At 41.2% G+C, this 14,632-nt stretch overlaps 1 protein-coding gene across 8 annotated transcripts in view, besides 1 other annotated feature; it reads right to left on the bottom strand.

The window, feature by feature from the left end:
* Positions 1-14,632, bottom strand: part of CRACD (capping protein inhibiting regulator of actin dynamics) — a 281,512-nt gene that overhangs the window by 101,553 nt on the left and 165,327 nt on the right. For 2 of the 8 annotated variants that reach the window (NM_001393382.1, NM_001393385.1), the window contains exon 1: positions 12,784-12,915. The exons of the other annotated variants lie outside the window; for them this stretch is intronic. The gene's annotated coding sequence lies outside the window, so the exon portion shown is untranslated. Of the gene's footprint in view, positions 1-12,783; positions 12,916-14,632 lie in introns of those variants that run through there. 8 annotated transcript variants of the gene reach the window in all.
* Positions 2,072-2,635: an enhancer, noted in NCBI's record as "OCT4-NANOG hESC enhancer chr4:57092588-57093151 (GRCh37/hg19 assembly coordinates)". NCBI's record gives its function as "activates a minimal SCP1, AML or CMV promoter by ChIP-STARR-seq in primed H9 embryonic stem cells {active_cell/tissue: H9 hESC(primed)}" and the evidence as "EXISTENCE:reporter gene assay evidence [ECO:0000049][PMID:30033119]".

The raw sequence follows: 14,632 nt of genomic DNA, 5'->3' as shown, positions 1-14,632 counted from the left end.
TTGCAATTTCTTACATTTGTGGAGAACCTTATGTATGACTTTCAAAACATTTTTCACAACTATTTTCTCACTTTATCCTCATGACATCTCTGTGATATGTACTTGTCGTTTGTCAAATACATAGGCTCAAGGATTTTATATGATGACTCCAAGGTCTCCTAGTTAATAAATGGCAGGATTGAAACAGGAACCTTTAACTTCTGGGTTTTAGCCCATCATTCTTCTATCACAATATACTTTTCACTAACCTACATAAAGTATCATCAGATGTTCTCTGCTGTCCTCTTGATAAAACTCCACAACCTCAGTGTGGCTTTTCAGGTCCTCCTCAATCTGGTGCCTTCATCTGTCTGACCTTCTCTCCGATTTCTCCGCAACCCACACTAGCTGCTTCCCTCATAACAACAGTAACACCCTCACCTGGAATTCTTTTTTTTTTTTTTTTTTTTGGTAGAGATGGTGTCTCGTTATGTTAACCAGGCTGGTCTTGAACTCCTGGGCTCCAGCGATCCTCCCACCTTGGCCTCCCAAAGTGCTGCGATTATGGGATTACAGGCATGAGCTACCATCCTGGCCGACTTAGGCAAATTCTGTATAACCTTCAAGGCTCAGCACATGTGTCTGGTAGATGTAACCTTCCACCTAAGCAATTAATGACTGAACTATATATTTTAACATTTAATTGTACTCAATATAATTTACAGTAAATCATAGTTGTTAAGTTTAACGTACTGAAGTCTTGTTTCTGTTAGAAGACCAAATTTTTTTCTCATAAAGAGTGTTATAATATACTTTTATCCATGCACATACACCATTGTCCAGTACAGATTAAGTACACAGTAACAAAAGTCAGGTATATTTTTGTTTCTATACACTGCCTAGCATCATATGAGGACACGGTCCCTGAAATGACCGGGGTTAGGGGGAAAGGCAGAATTTCAGTCTTGGAGTAACGGGGGTACCAGGAAGGCTCCAAGGCAGGGACAGGGTAGGGGCCTAGGACCTGAAATTGGGTATACACTGAAAGGAGAACACGCAGCATGACTGACCTGATGCTCCTTACATATATCCTGCTTTGTAAAGAATTAGCCTCAATACTGAGCCAGGTCTAAACTACAGGTAGAGGTTAAGCGCTTCCTAAGAGGCAGGGAGAGGGAAAGAAAAAAAGAAAGAGAATACGACCAGGTAGACCACTGGTGGATTGTGTCCTAGAACACAGTTACCTTCTGTAAGGCAGTGTGTATTGCCAGATATAACACACTTGTTGCTGATCATGAGAAAGAGCACTCATTTCAAAAACCCAGGTGATTCTCTAAATCAAAGTGTGGCCCATATTTGTTTTCGTAAATAGAGTTTTGTTGGAATACCCATTTGTTTAAGCCCTGCCTGTGGCTATCTGTGCACTGCGAAGATGGAGTTGAACAGCTGCAGCCGGTCTATGTGGCCCGTAAAGCCTAAAATATTTACTATCTGGCCCTTTATAAAAGTTGGTCGATCTCTGCTCTAAAATCTAGTTCTGCCTTTTATAAGGGGATCGTAAAGTAATTTTTGGCAAGGGAGACCCAGAAGCTGCCAGTAGATTCAGAAAGACCAGGAAGTTTCCTTGTTACTGATGATATGTTGTTGTATGACTTTATCACTTAACATTCTAACTTAGTGTATCTATCAGTGAAGGTGAGATTCTTTTTACCCACCTTTGTGTCCCACACCTGAAATTTTCCAGCACTTTTGTACTGTGTCTGGCTATGATTATTCCATAATGTTCATGTTCAGAAGAAATGTTACAAGCAGAAAAAGAAAATGAGTTCTTTATATAATAGTCACAGTATTTACAGCAACAACTTGCTTATCTGACTGCAGGAAGTAGCAGATTTTGAGTTAACAAAAGTACATCTCTCACATTATGTTGACCACTTTTACTGGAATCCTGTTTTAGTCCATTTGTGTTGCTATAAAGGAACATCCAAGGTTGAGTAATTTATAAAGAGAGGAGCTTTATTTGGCTCACAGATCTGCAGGCTGTGTAAGAAGTATGGTGCCAGTATCTGCTTGGCTTCTGGTGAGGTGTCGGGCTACTTCCACTTATGGTGTAAGGCAAAGGGACGCTGGTAAGTGTGGTGATCACATGGCAAAGGAGAAGAAGCCACAGGGAGGAAGGAAGGGAGAGAGAGAGAGAGAGACAGAGAGAGAGAGAGAGAAAGAGACACACACAGAGAGAGAGAGGTGTGAAGGAGAGGGAAAGAAAGAGGGAAGGAAGGCAGGTGCCAGGCTCTTTTTAACAACCAGCTCCTGGGAACAAATAGCGAACTCACTCACCTTCCCTTGCCCCACAGGGAGGGCATTCATCTATTCATGAGGGATTCACCCCCTACCATGACCCAAACACCTCACATTAGGCCCCACCTCCAATGCTGGGGATCAAATTTCAACATGAGGTTTGGGGGACAAACATCAAAACTATAGCACTATCTTAAATGGATTTCTCAAATTTTCTCTTAGCAACAGAGCATACACAACATAATTTTACCCTTTTTTGCTGACTCTGAATCATCATAATGAAATTTATTGCACTATAGTCCTCTGGAGTCCCTAAGGAATGGAGGTTAATTGAGCCAACGCAAAAGGGCCAAGAAAACTCACTTCATAGTTCTTGTATCTGCGTTTCTCCTCTCTCATTCTCAGCAGCTGATCTGCAGCGCAATATACCAGGACTGAAAGGTGATCTAAATCAACCACCAATCTCACAACACAATTCCTAGATCCCAAACAATGTGCCCATCTAATGAGATGGTTTGGTCTAGTTTAGTTCACCAAATCATCAAATATTTATAACGTGCCTCCTCTGGGATAGTCAGAGTCCTACATTCAATGATGATTAAGGCATGATTCCTGCCCTTAATGAATATGACTCCAACCTTGGTAGAAAACCCAACGTGACCCAATGGTATGTGGATAAGAAGGCCCCACTTCTTACGACTTCACTTTTGCTATTTTGCTCATTCAGGCCCAATATTTCACTTTCAGGGTTCCATTCACACATTCATTGCATTTTCTGGTGACACTGAATAATATCTAAATGGATAAGGAGAAAGTTGAAGAGCAGGATAGAAAGCAAATTTAGGATTCTGCCTTACAGCAACAGCTTGAAGATGTGACTTCCAAGAATGGGTTCTACCTAAAAATGGAGACTTCCTTGTATTATACAGTAATATCTCAAAAATTATTTCACAGCTAATGTTATGATCTTGAATTACTTCCTAAAGGTCCAGGAAGACATTAGATAGACTGGGCATGATAATCCCGCTTCACTAACTGGTCATTCCTGTCTCACTTTCACAATGATGAACAAAAGGGAAGTCCTAAATATTTCTACCTAATCAAGCCTAGTAATTAAGCTGTATGATTTTTTCCCTTTATAATAAGATTTTAGGCACCCCTAAGACTCAAAATCAAATATTATACAAAGAATAAGGGGTACTTGGGGAAAGAGAAATATGGAAGAGAAATAGAAGATGAGAGAAATAAATGGAAGGCAGATAAGAAGAAACGGGTTCAGGGAGGCAGAAGAGATGGAGGAAAGAGAACAGATAAAGATCAAGATGAGAAAGACATAGAAGAGGAATATTCAATCAAAATGTCTTTATTCAAAAAATAACCATGTTGAGGCTGGCATGGTGGCTCACGCCTGTAATCCCAGCACTTTGGGAGGCCTAGGTGGGTTGATCACCTGAGGTCAGGAGTTTGAGACTAGCCTGGCCAACATGGTGAAACCCTGTCTCTACTAAAACTACAAAAAAATTAGCCAGGCATGGTGGTACGTACTATAATCCCAGCTACTCCGGGAGGCTGAGGCAGGAGAATTGCTTGAACCCGAGAGGGAGAGGTTTTTGCAGTAAGCCAAGATCGTGCCACTGCACTCCAGCCTGGGCAAGAGAGCAAGACACCATCTCAAAATAATAAATAAATAAATAACCATGTTGAGAGAAGATCACAAATGAAGAGCTAATCTCCTTGCAAGAATAAGTGTGTGGAGACCAAAGAGTGAAGACTTCAGGTGGACACTGAAGGGCACATGGGCTAAGGCTTGTATCCTCTGACACTCAACCCTCTCCAGATCTTTTACCAATTGAGGACAGTTGGCTCCCAACTTCAGGGTAAAGGGTTGGCTCCCAGCTTCAAGGTAAGGGAGATAGTGAGGTCACCTGCTTCCAGGAGCAGTCTTGTGCTGGAAGAGCTGGCTTTAAGCCAAAAGACACTATGTGGTAAACTAGAACTAGCAACTGAAGAAAAAACATGTTTGAAGCAGGATTAAGTATGTACATGGTTAAGCCAAAGAAACAGAAAGAAATTAGGTCAATATAAGACTATACAATATAGAGGTTGTACTGATTTACATTCCCACCCGCCATGTGTAAGCATTCCCTTTTCACCACATCCATGCCAACATCTATTGTTTTTTGACTTTTTAATAATAGCCATTCTGGCTGGGGCAAGGTGGTAGGTACCTCCCTGTGGTTTTAATTTGCATTTTCCTAATTAACTAGATTAAACCATCACTATGTACAGATGATATGATGAAAAACTCAAGATAATCACCTGAAAAACTATTAAAACACAAGAAAATTTAGTAAGCCTGATCAATGTGAAGCAATGGCTTCCACCAGTAACAAACAGAAGATATAATGGATGAAAAGACCTCAAGTATAGCAGCCAACACAACAAAAGACCTAGATGTAAACTTAATAGAAATGTGAAGGTGATACATGAACAAAATTTCAAGTCATTTTTAAAGGACAGACAAGTGACCAAATGGAAAAGCATAGTGTGGCCTCAGATAGGAAAAACTGACATCATAAAGATGTCATTCTTCTTAACTTGGAAATCAAATGCAATTCCAATAAAAAAAAATAGCGAAGAAAACTCTGAAAAAAAAAGAGTAATAAAAAGAAACTAGCTCTGTCAAATATTAAGATGTTTTACAGACCTCATCAATTAAAACAGGCCAGGCCTGGTGGTGCACACCTGTAATCCCAACACTGGGAAACCAAGGAGGGAGGATTGCTTGAGGCCAGGAATCCAAGACCAGCTTGGGCAATGTAGCAAGACCCTGTCTCCACAAAAAATTAAAAAATTAGCCAGGCCTGGTGGCAAGTGCCTGTAGTCCCAGCTACTTGGAAGGCTGAGGTGGTAGAATCACTTGAGCCCATAAGTTCGAGGATGCAGTGAGCTGAGACTGCGTCACTGTACTTCAGCCTGGGCACAGAGTGAGACCCTGTCTAAAAAAATTTAAAAAGATAGTAACAGTAACAATTAAAACAGTGTGAAACTGTTGTATGAATAGACAGGTAAATCAATGGAATAGAACAGAAGGCCCAGAAAACAGACCAAATACATTTGAGAATTTCATATATGATAAAAATGGCATTTTAAGTCAGTGGAGAAAGACCATTCAATAAGTGTTGCTGGGACAGCTGGACAGCCAACTGGAAAAGAAAAAGTTGGAACCACACTCACACCAGACACCAGGATAGACTCCAAGTGGAACAAAGACTAAAATATTAAAAATGAAACCATAAAAGTACTAGAAGACCCACAAAAATGAGGCAACCTGACATGATCTGTCCCTGATGGAAGAACACACCACATATGAAATAGTCTTGAAAAGGGAAAATTAATCTAAATCTGAAAGCACCTCAATCCCTACCAATTTACATAAAATAAAGAGGACAGAGGAACATTTATAAAGTACACCACAGGGATGCAACTAGCAAAACCCAGACTGTGGGAGACTCAAGAGAACAAACTCAAGGTGTTATTAGGAAAAAAAAAAAAGAGAAAAGAATCAAGAAAAACGAAAAAGAGATGAACCTGTGGTTTAAAAAGAGATTAAAGCCACACTGCCTTAGTTCAGGTGCTCATTATCTCTTGCCTACTGTCAACATCTTCAAGAACTTCTACTCAGGAGATTTTACCATGGCCATTATAAGGTGAAGATCTGCTGCTTTTTTTTTTTTTTAAGTTTACTGGTTTCTTAACTTTTATTTCTTTAATTTAATTAATTAATTTTTTTGTTTGTTTGTTTGAGACGGAGTCTTGTTCTGTCACCCAGGCTGGAGTGCAATGGCGTGATTTCGGCCCACTGCAACCTCAGCCTCCCAAGTTCAAGTGATTCTCCTGCCTCAGCCTCCCAAGTAGCCGGATTACAGGCGCACACCACCCACATGCCCAGCTAATTTTTGCGGTGCTTTTTTGTTTTTGTTTTTGTTTTTGTTTTTCAGTAGAGATGGGGTTTCACCATGTTGGCTAGGTTCTCGAACTCCTGAACTCAAGTGATTCACCAGCTTCGGCCTCCCAAAGTGCTGGGATTACAGGGATGACTCACCACGCCTGGCCCTTTAATTTAATTTTTAAACAGGTAAGATATTCCCAGAGGTGAAAAAATTCAAAGTTAAAAAAGGCATAAAGTGAATTCTTTTAAATTTATTTTTATTTACCTTATATGTCTACATATATTTATTTCAATTGTTGTTGGGGTACAAGTGGTTTTTGGTTACATGGATGTATTATATAGTGGTGAATTCTGAGATTTCAGTGCACCTCTTACCCAAGTAGCATACACCGTACCCAATACGTAGTTTTTAATCTTCACTTCCCTCCCACTCTCCCCACTTCAGAGTCTCCAAAGTGCATTATACCACTCTGTATGTCTTTGCATACCCATAGCTTAGTTCCCACTTGTGAGAACATACATTATTTGACTTTCCATTCCTGTGTTATTTCAATTAAAATAACAGCCTCCAGCTTCATCCAAGTCATTGCAAAAGACATTATTTCATTTCTTTTTATGGCTGAGTAGTATTCTGTGATATGTATATATACCACAGTTTCTTTATCCATTCATTGGTTGATGGGAACTCAGATTGGCTCCATATCTTTGCAACTGTGAATTGTGCTGCAAAAAACATATGCGTGCAGGCATCATTTTGATATAATGACTTCTTTTTCTTTGGGTAGATAGCCAGTAGTGGGATTGCTGGGTTGAATGGTATATCTACTTTTAGTTCTTTAAACAATCTCCATACTGTTTTCTATGGAGGGTGTACTAATTTACATTCCCACCAGCAGTGTAAAAGTGTTCTGTATTCACCACATCTATGCCAACATCTACTGTTTTTTGACTTTTTAATAATAGCCATTCTGGCTCGGGTAAGGTAGTAGGTGGTGAACTGTGGTTTTAATTTGCATTTTCCTAATAATTAGTAATAGTGGGCCTTTTTTCACATGTTTCTTGGCCATTTGTACATCCTCTTTTGAGAAATGTCTGTTCATGTCATTTGCCCACTTTTTCATGGGATTATTTGGGTTTTGGAGTTTTTTTATTTTATTTTTTAATTTTTTTTGCTGATTTGTTTGAGTTCCTTGCAGATTCTGAATATGAGTCCTTTCTTAGATGTATAGTTTACAAATATTTTCTCCCATTCTGTGGGTTGTCTGTTTACTCTGATGATTATTTCTTTTGCTGTGCAGAAAATCTTCAGTTTAATTATGTCCCATTTATTTATTTTGGTTTTTGCTGCATTTGCTTTTGGAGTATTAGTAATAAATTCTTCTTCCTACCCCATTCCTCAAGCCAATTTCCCCTTCCTCAAAATACTGCTGTTTTATGTGAACCTCTCAATATATTTGTATGCATTTACAAGAAAATCTTAACTTATATTCTTTTTTCCCCTTAATAACAAATATGTACACCAAACATACTGTTGTGGCTTTTCTTCCGTGAAGTATTTCAATAGCTTCCAAATTCATTTTCCTGACTGCAATTTTGTACTTTCCAATCCATTCTTCATGTGGCTGTCGGGTTGATCATTCTAAAATGCGGATCTGATCATGCTTCAAAATTTACAGTGTCTCCCTCTTAACTACAGGATCAAGTTCAACTCCCTAGCTTGGCACAATATTCAACATCTTTCATAATCTAGCCCTAACCTACCCTCTTTCCAGGGGTTTGGCTTACCACTCCTCACTACAAATCCCAAACCCCAAGGACGCTGGATTCTGAATACACCAAATGCTTTCTTTGTACATGATTCTCTCTCTACCTGGACCTTCTTTTCACTTCTCCATCTGGTGAGTTTTTACTTTCTATCTATCTTTCAAGATCCAGCTAAATGATATATCCTTTTGGAAGCCTGCCCTCACTTGTCACAAGCAGAACTACCAGGGACTGTGCTCCCCTATTAGGACTAATCAATTTTGCTATCCACTATGCCCACAGTCCTTTGTTCAAGGCTATAATACACTGCATGTCACAGTGTACCATATTATTATTTGTACTAGTCAGTAGTGAATAAATGAAAGATCATGCCTTATGGTCAACCCAACCCCTTCCCCAAAGAATTCTAACTTCAAAGAATGGAATTCCAAAAAAAAAAAATCAAAAGCCGGGCTTGCAAAGAATTTTACCAGTCCGCTAAAATGAATTTATTGGTTTGCCTCCATTCCAGATGGTCCTTGAAATCAACATCTTGTATTAGTCACACAGCACACCAACAGCTGCAGGGAGGCTTGTACCGTTCTTCCAGCAGGCCCCAGCAGGCTATCTGACTCCTTCAAAGAACTCCAACTTATCCTTGGGCATACACCAATGAAAATCCCACTGTCTCATATCCTAGTGAGCAGAGTGAAGTTCCACAAGCTTATTTAGGGAGAGGCAACAGTTGGTTACAAGAGCAGAGACTGGAAATCACAAGTTCCCCTAATTAGATCCCTGTGCTAATCTCCCAGAAAACAAAGGACTTCAGTCTAATCTTTTTTTCTTCTGTGTTTAGGAGTATTTCAGCTTATGGTGAAAGTAAGAATTTGGCTGCAGAAAAACACTTGATCAGTAATAAGAATACAGGTATGGTTGCTGATCAAAGCTGCAGTGAAGGAGCTAGTGTAACTGGCCCTCCAGACCACTGCCCTGCCTACGTTACCAAAGGTAAGTTTCTGAGTGATTTTATTCCTTTTTTCCTCTTTCAATCAAATATAATCTTATTTCCTTTCTTGTATTTCTTTCAACCAAATACTCCCAATTAGTTTCTTCATATTATCTGCCTGCAGTATTATACTGTAAGCCTGAATGCACCAAATGGTCATTTATGTTTTCATAGATTATATTAAATATCTTACCCAACACCTTTTACAACTTCTTACTAAACACACACATTTAAGCATTGACCTAAATCATTACTGTCTAACTGTCCCTGAAATCATGGGACTTTAAGCTAGAAGGTATCTGAGAAATCACCTAGTGACCCAATGCTCACAATGAACACTTACTAAACAAAAGGTGAATATACTTCTCCAAGATCACATGAGTTGCATAACCTTGACCAGGATGTTTTCCTAATATTGATTTCAGCAGGGCATGGTACCTCACCCCTGTAATCACAGCACTTTGGGAGGCTGAAATAACAATTTGACTGTTCTCTCCAGGCCAGGAGTTCAAGACCAGCCTGGCCAACGTAGCAAAACCCCATCTCTACTAAAAGTACAAAAGTTAGTTGGGTGTGGTGGCATGCACCTGTAATCTCCAGCTACTCGGGAGGCTGAGGCACAAGAATCGCTTCAATCCAGGAGGCAGAGGTTGCAGTGAGCTGAGATCACACCACTGCACTCCAGCCTGGGCGAAAGAGCAAGACTCTGTCTCAAAAACAAACAAACAAACAAACGAACAAAACCTAATATTCATTTCACTGTTATTTCTATCACATTGAGTTATCTCCATTCCATTTCCTTAATCTTACTGTTCTCAAATTTGCTTCATAACCTACTGTGGTCTAGCCCACCAGAATCCTCAAATGAAGGAATTTCCTGTTACTAGGAGCATCTTCTTGAATTATATTCAAACTCCCTCTTGCAACAGGGAGTAAAAGTAAGGTAAGAAGAGAACTGGGGGTTGGGGAAGAGGCAAGTTATTCATCTTCAATTAGATGAGTCCATCTTCAATTCATCTACCAGTTAGAAAGTTCTGAGGTCCCCCATTATAGATTCTTTCATAACATCTCACATTCTGTAAGCTATATTCAGGGCATTGAAGGTCAAAAGGCACAACAGGCTACTCTGCAACTACCTGGCCAAATAGCAAGAAAGATGGTAAATGTATTGCTCTATGTTATAGCCCAAAATAAATGAGAAGAACAATATCATTATGAAATAAATAATTCTTGTGAGATTCTTCCTGCAATCATCTAAAAGCCTTTGGGACTGAAATTATTTGCAGTCATAGGAAGAAAATTTCTAGGCTGGGCATGGTGGCTTATGACTGTAATCCTAACACTTTGTGGGGCTGAAGCGAGAGAATTGCTTGAGGCCAGGTGTTTGAGGTTACAATGAGCTATGATCATGCCACTGCACTCCAGCCAGGGTGACAGAGAGAGAGCCTGTTGAAAGAAAAGAAAGAAAAGAGGGAAGGGAAGGGGAAGGGAGGGGAGGGGAAGGAGGGGAGAAGTGAAGAGAAGGCAAGGGAAGCGGGGAGAAGGGAAGGAAATGAGGGAGGGGAGGGGAGGGGAAGATAAGGGAGGGGAAGGAAAGGGAGGGGAAGGAAAGGCAGGGGAAGGAAAGGGAGGGGATGGAAAGGGAGGGGAAGGGAGGGAAAGAAAGCAGACCAGGTGAGGTGGTTACTCCTGTAATCCCAGCACTTGAGGAGGCCAAAGCAGGAGGACTGCTTGAGCCCAGGAGTTTGAGAGCAGCCTGGATAACATAGTGAGACCCTGTCTCTACTTGAAAAAAAAGAAAAGAAGAAAATTCCTTCATATTCAAGCAGACATTTGACAGGGATTAAATTGTGTCCCCCACCAAAAGGTATCTTGAAGTCCTCACCCCTACTATCTCAGAATGTAACATTATTTGAAGACAGTGTCTTTTTAGAAGTAATCAAGTTAAAATGGGGTCAGTAGGGTGGCCCTAATCCAATAAGGCTGATGTCCTTGTAAAAAGGGGAAATTGGGAGACAAAGACACACCTAGAGAAAGACAACGTAAAGACACAGGGACAACATCATGTACAAGCCGAGGAACACCTAAGGCTACCAGAAGCCAGGACAGAGGCAAGAAGAAGATTCTCCCTCACAGCCCTCAGAAGGAGCCAACCCTGCCAACACTTTGGTTTTGGATTTCTAGCCTCCATAGCTGTGACACAATTGTAAAACAAAAAATAAAATCCTAAGCTCCCACAACCAACTGAATGAACCCTTCCTCTTGGCCGAGGGCATTCCAAAGTTAATCTGAAAAACTAATTCAGGCCTCGAGGGAAAGTGGTGGTCAAATATGCCTCATTATTTATACCTTCCTCCCTTTGCAATTCAGGCACAGCTTACCAGCATTAACATTAAAACAGAGACTTTAATACTGACAGAACGGACTCTTTAAGTCTGATAAGAAACATTTACAATCTATTCTCTCTGAAGCCTGCTATCTGGAGGCTCCATCTGCATAAGAAGAACTTTGGTCTCCACAGCCCCTTATCTTAACCCAGACACTCCCTTCTATTGATTCCAGGTCTTTAATAAACTCTTTCAACCAAATGCCAACCAGAAAATCTTTGAATCCACCTAGGACCTGGAATCCCTCCCCCTCCCACCCCACCTCCCCCTTTCTGGACTGAACCAATGTACTTTTACATGTATTGATTGATATCTTATGTCTCTCTAAAATGTATAAAACCAAGCTGAAGCCCAACCACCTTGGGCAAATGTTGTCAGGACCTTCTGAGGCTGTGTCATGAGTATGTCCTTAACCTTGGCAAAATAAACTTCTAAATTGATTGAGACTTGCCTCAGATACTTCTTGGTTTACATAATCAGTATGTCTGTTGTTGAAGCCATCTAGTTTTTGGTACTTTGTTAGGGCATCCCTAGGAAACTCGGACATCTGATGAGCAATGACCCCCAGCCAGTGCTACCAGGAATCAATTCCAGGTTTACAGAGGGACCCCTCTGAATGTTAATCAAAAATATTCAGCTTAGCTTTCTGCAAAAAGTAAACCTGAGACATTTTCTTTTTTTTTTTTTTCTTTTTTTTTTTTTTTTGAGACGGAGTCTCGCTCTGTCGCCCAGGCCGGACTGCGGACTGCAGTGGCGCAATCTCGGCTCACTGCAAGCTCCGCTTCCCGGGTTCACGCCATTCTCCTGCCTCAGCCTCCCGAGTAGCTGGGACTACAGGTGCCCGCCACCGCGCCCGGCTAATTTTTTGTATTTTTAGTAGAGACGGGGTTTCACCTTGTTAGCCAGGATGGTCTCGATCTCCTGACCTCATGATCCACCCGCCTCGGCCTCCCAAAGTGCTGGGATTACAGGCGTGAGCCACCGCGCCCGGCCTGACATTTTCTACTTCAGAATAATTTTCATATTTTTGCAAAGGCCGATTTTAAATGCCGCTTCTCTCCAAATACTACATTACCACTTTTGCCAAACCAGGATATGGAACACAGTCACACACACACACACCCCACAGAGAGTGTATCCCTCTATTTGGTCTTGAATAGATCGGAAGTTCCTACAGTTACTGGGACTATGATTCCAACCGATGCCTGTCAGTTTAGCAGATGAGATTGGAACAGCTGTATCTTCAATACACATCATTGTCTTAAATAGATGCTCAGAATGAATTACAATTAAATTACAGAGCTGTCAAAAAGGGTTATAATTATAGCATTTATTCACCATATTTACAAGGCCAGACATACACAAAAGGAACAGAAGGCTGAAGAAAAAGAACAAAAAACCCACTCCACATTACTTACCTCAGCAGGAAATCTGGTTGGGGGAGAGAGGAAGATGAGTTAGTTATCATGCAAAGAGCCCATTTCCTGCAACCACACAGCTCTGTGTTTCCAGAGGGTCTTCCATTCCAGAAGTTGGAGGCGCTTTAAGACATCATCTGGTGGCAACGCATTTCTCTTTTACAATTGGAAAAGGGAGGGCCAGCAAGGTTGCCATGACTCACCCACAGCTACAGACAAGCAAGGGAGGAGCTGGGACCTGAACCAAGAGCAAGGGCTACTCCCGTCAGTGGGCTGAACAAGGAAAGCAAAATCAGGACAGCCAGACCTGGTCCCTTGTTTTGTTCTCATCTATAAGAGCATATTAATTTATCCAGCAGTTATTTATCATGCAGCTTAGGAGGCTTGGAAATCGTCCTTCACTTTCTGCTAAAATGACACAAGATAAAAGAGAGGAAGAAAATCCTCAACTGCCATTTATGCTAGTCAATTCTGTTACTAATCAATAATGCATTTAGAACCACCGGAAGAATGGTACAATTCTCTTAGTCACCTTCAACCTCAGCATCCAAAAGATAAATTGAGGATAGTAATACTACTCAGTGAGCAAACATCAGGCAATCAACAAATATCTATTATGCTGTCTCTATGTGTAACATTGTGCTAGAGACTGTCAGGGGCATAAACAGGTGACAGACTTAGACTCGTTTCTCAAGAGCTCATAGTCCAGTTGAAGAGACAAGATACAAAGAAAGATAAAGTAAAACAAGGCAGTAAATATGCATTATGATAAACTGCCAATTCAATCATATGCACAAGTGCAATGGATTAAATATTTATGTTGCCCCAGCATTAATATGCTGAAATTCTAACTGCCAAGGTGACGGTATTAGGAGGTGTGGCCTCCAGGAAATGATTAGGTCATTAGGGCAGTGCTCTCATGGATGGGATTAGTGTCCTTATAAAGACATATGAGCCAGGCACAGTGATTCACGTTTGTAATCCCAATGCTTTGGAAGGCTGAGGTGAGAGGATCACTTGAGCTCAGGAGTTCAAGATCAGCCTGGGCAACATAGTGAGACCCCCATCTCTACAAAAACATTTAAAAATTAAAAAAATTAGCTGAGTGTGGTGGTATGTGCTTGTGGTCCTAGCTACTTGGGAGGCTGAGGTGGGAAGAATGCTTGAGCCCAGGAGTTTGAAGTTAGAGTAAGCTATGACTGCGCCACTGCACTCCAGCTTGGGTGAAAGAGCAGTATGCTGTCTCTTTTTTTGTTTGTTTGTTTTTTCTCTTTGAGATGGAGTCTTGCACTGTTGCCCAGGCTGGAGTGCAATGGTGCGATCTCGGCTCACTCCAACCTCCACCTCCCGGGTTCACATGATTCTCCTGCCTCAGCCGGGATTATAGGCGCACACCACCACACCCAACCAATTTTTTATGTTTTCAGTAGAGACGGAGTTTCACTATGTTGGCCAGACTTGTCTCGAACTCCTGACCTCATGATTTGCCTACCTTGGCCTCCCAAAGTGCTGGGATTATAGGCGTGAGCCACTGTGCCTGGCCAGTACACTGTCTCTTAAAAAAAAATAACTGTTTGATATATATATATATAGAGAGAGAGAGAGAGAGAGAGAGAGAGAGTGTCTAGCTCTGTCGCCAGGCTGGAGGGCAGTGGTGCGATATGTCTCTTTTTTTTTTCTCCTTGAGACAGTCTCACACTGTTGCCCGGGCTGGAGTGCAACGGTGCAATCTCAGCTGACTGCAACCTCCGCCTCCCGGGTTCACGTGATTCTCCTGCCGCGGCTTCCCAAGTAGCTGGGATTACAGGCAAGTGCCGCCACACCCAGCTAATTTTTGTATTTTAGTAGA

The sequence above is a fragment of the Homo sapiens genome, chromosome 4, assembly GCF_000001405.40.
Source record: "Homo sapiens chromosome 4, GRCh38.p14 Primary Assembly".
Classification (NCBI taxonomy): Eukaryota; Metazoa; Chordata; class Mammalia; order Primates; family Hominidae; genus Homo; species Homo sapiens.
The sequence above is the reverse complement of the archived record's forward strand: the minus strand, read 5'-3'. Positions and strand labels throughout refer to the sequence as shown.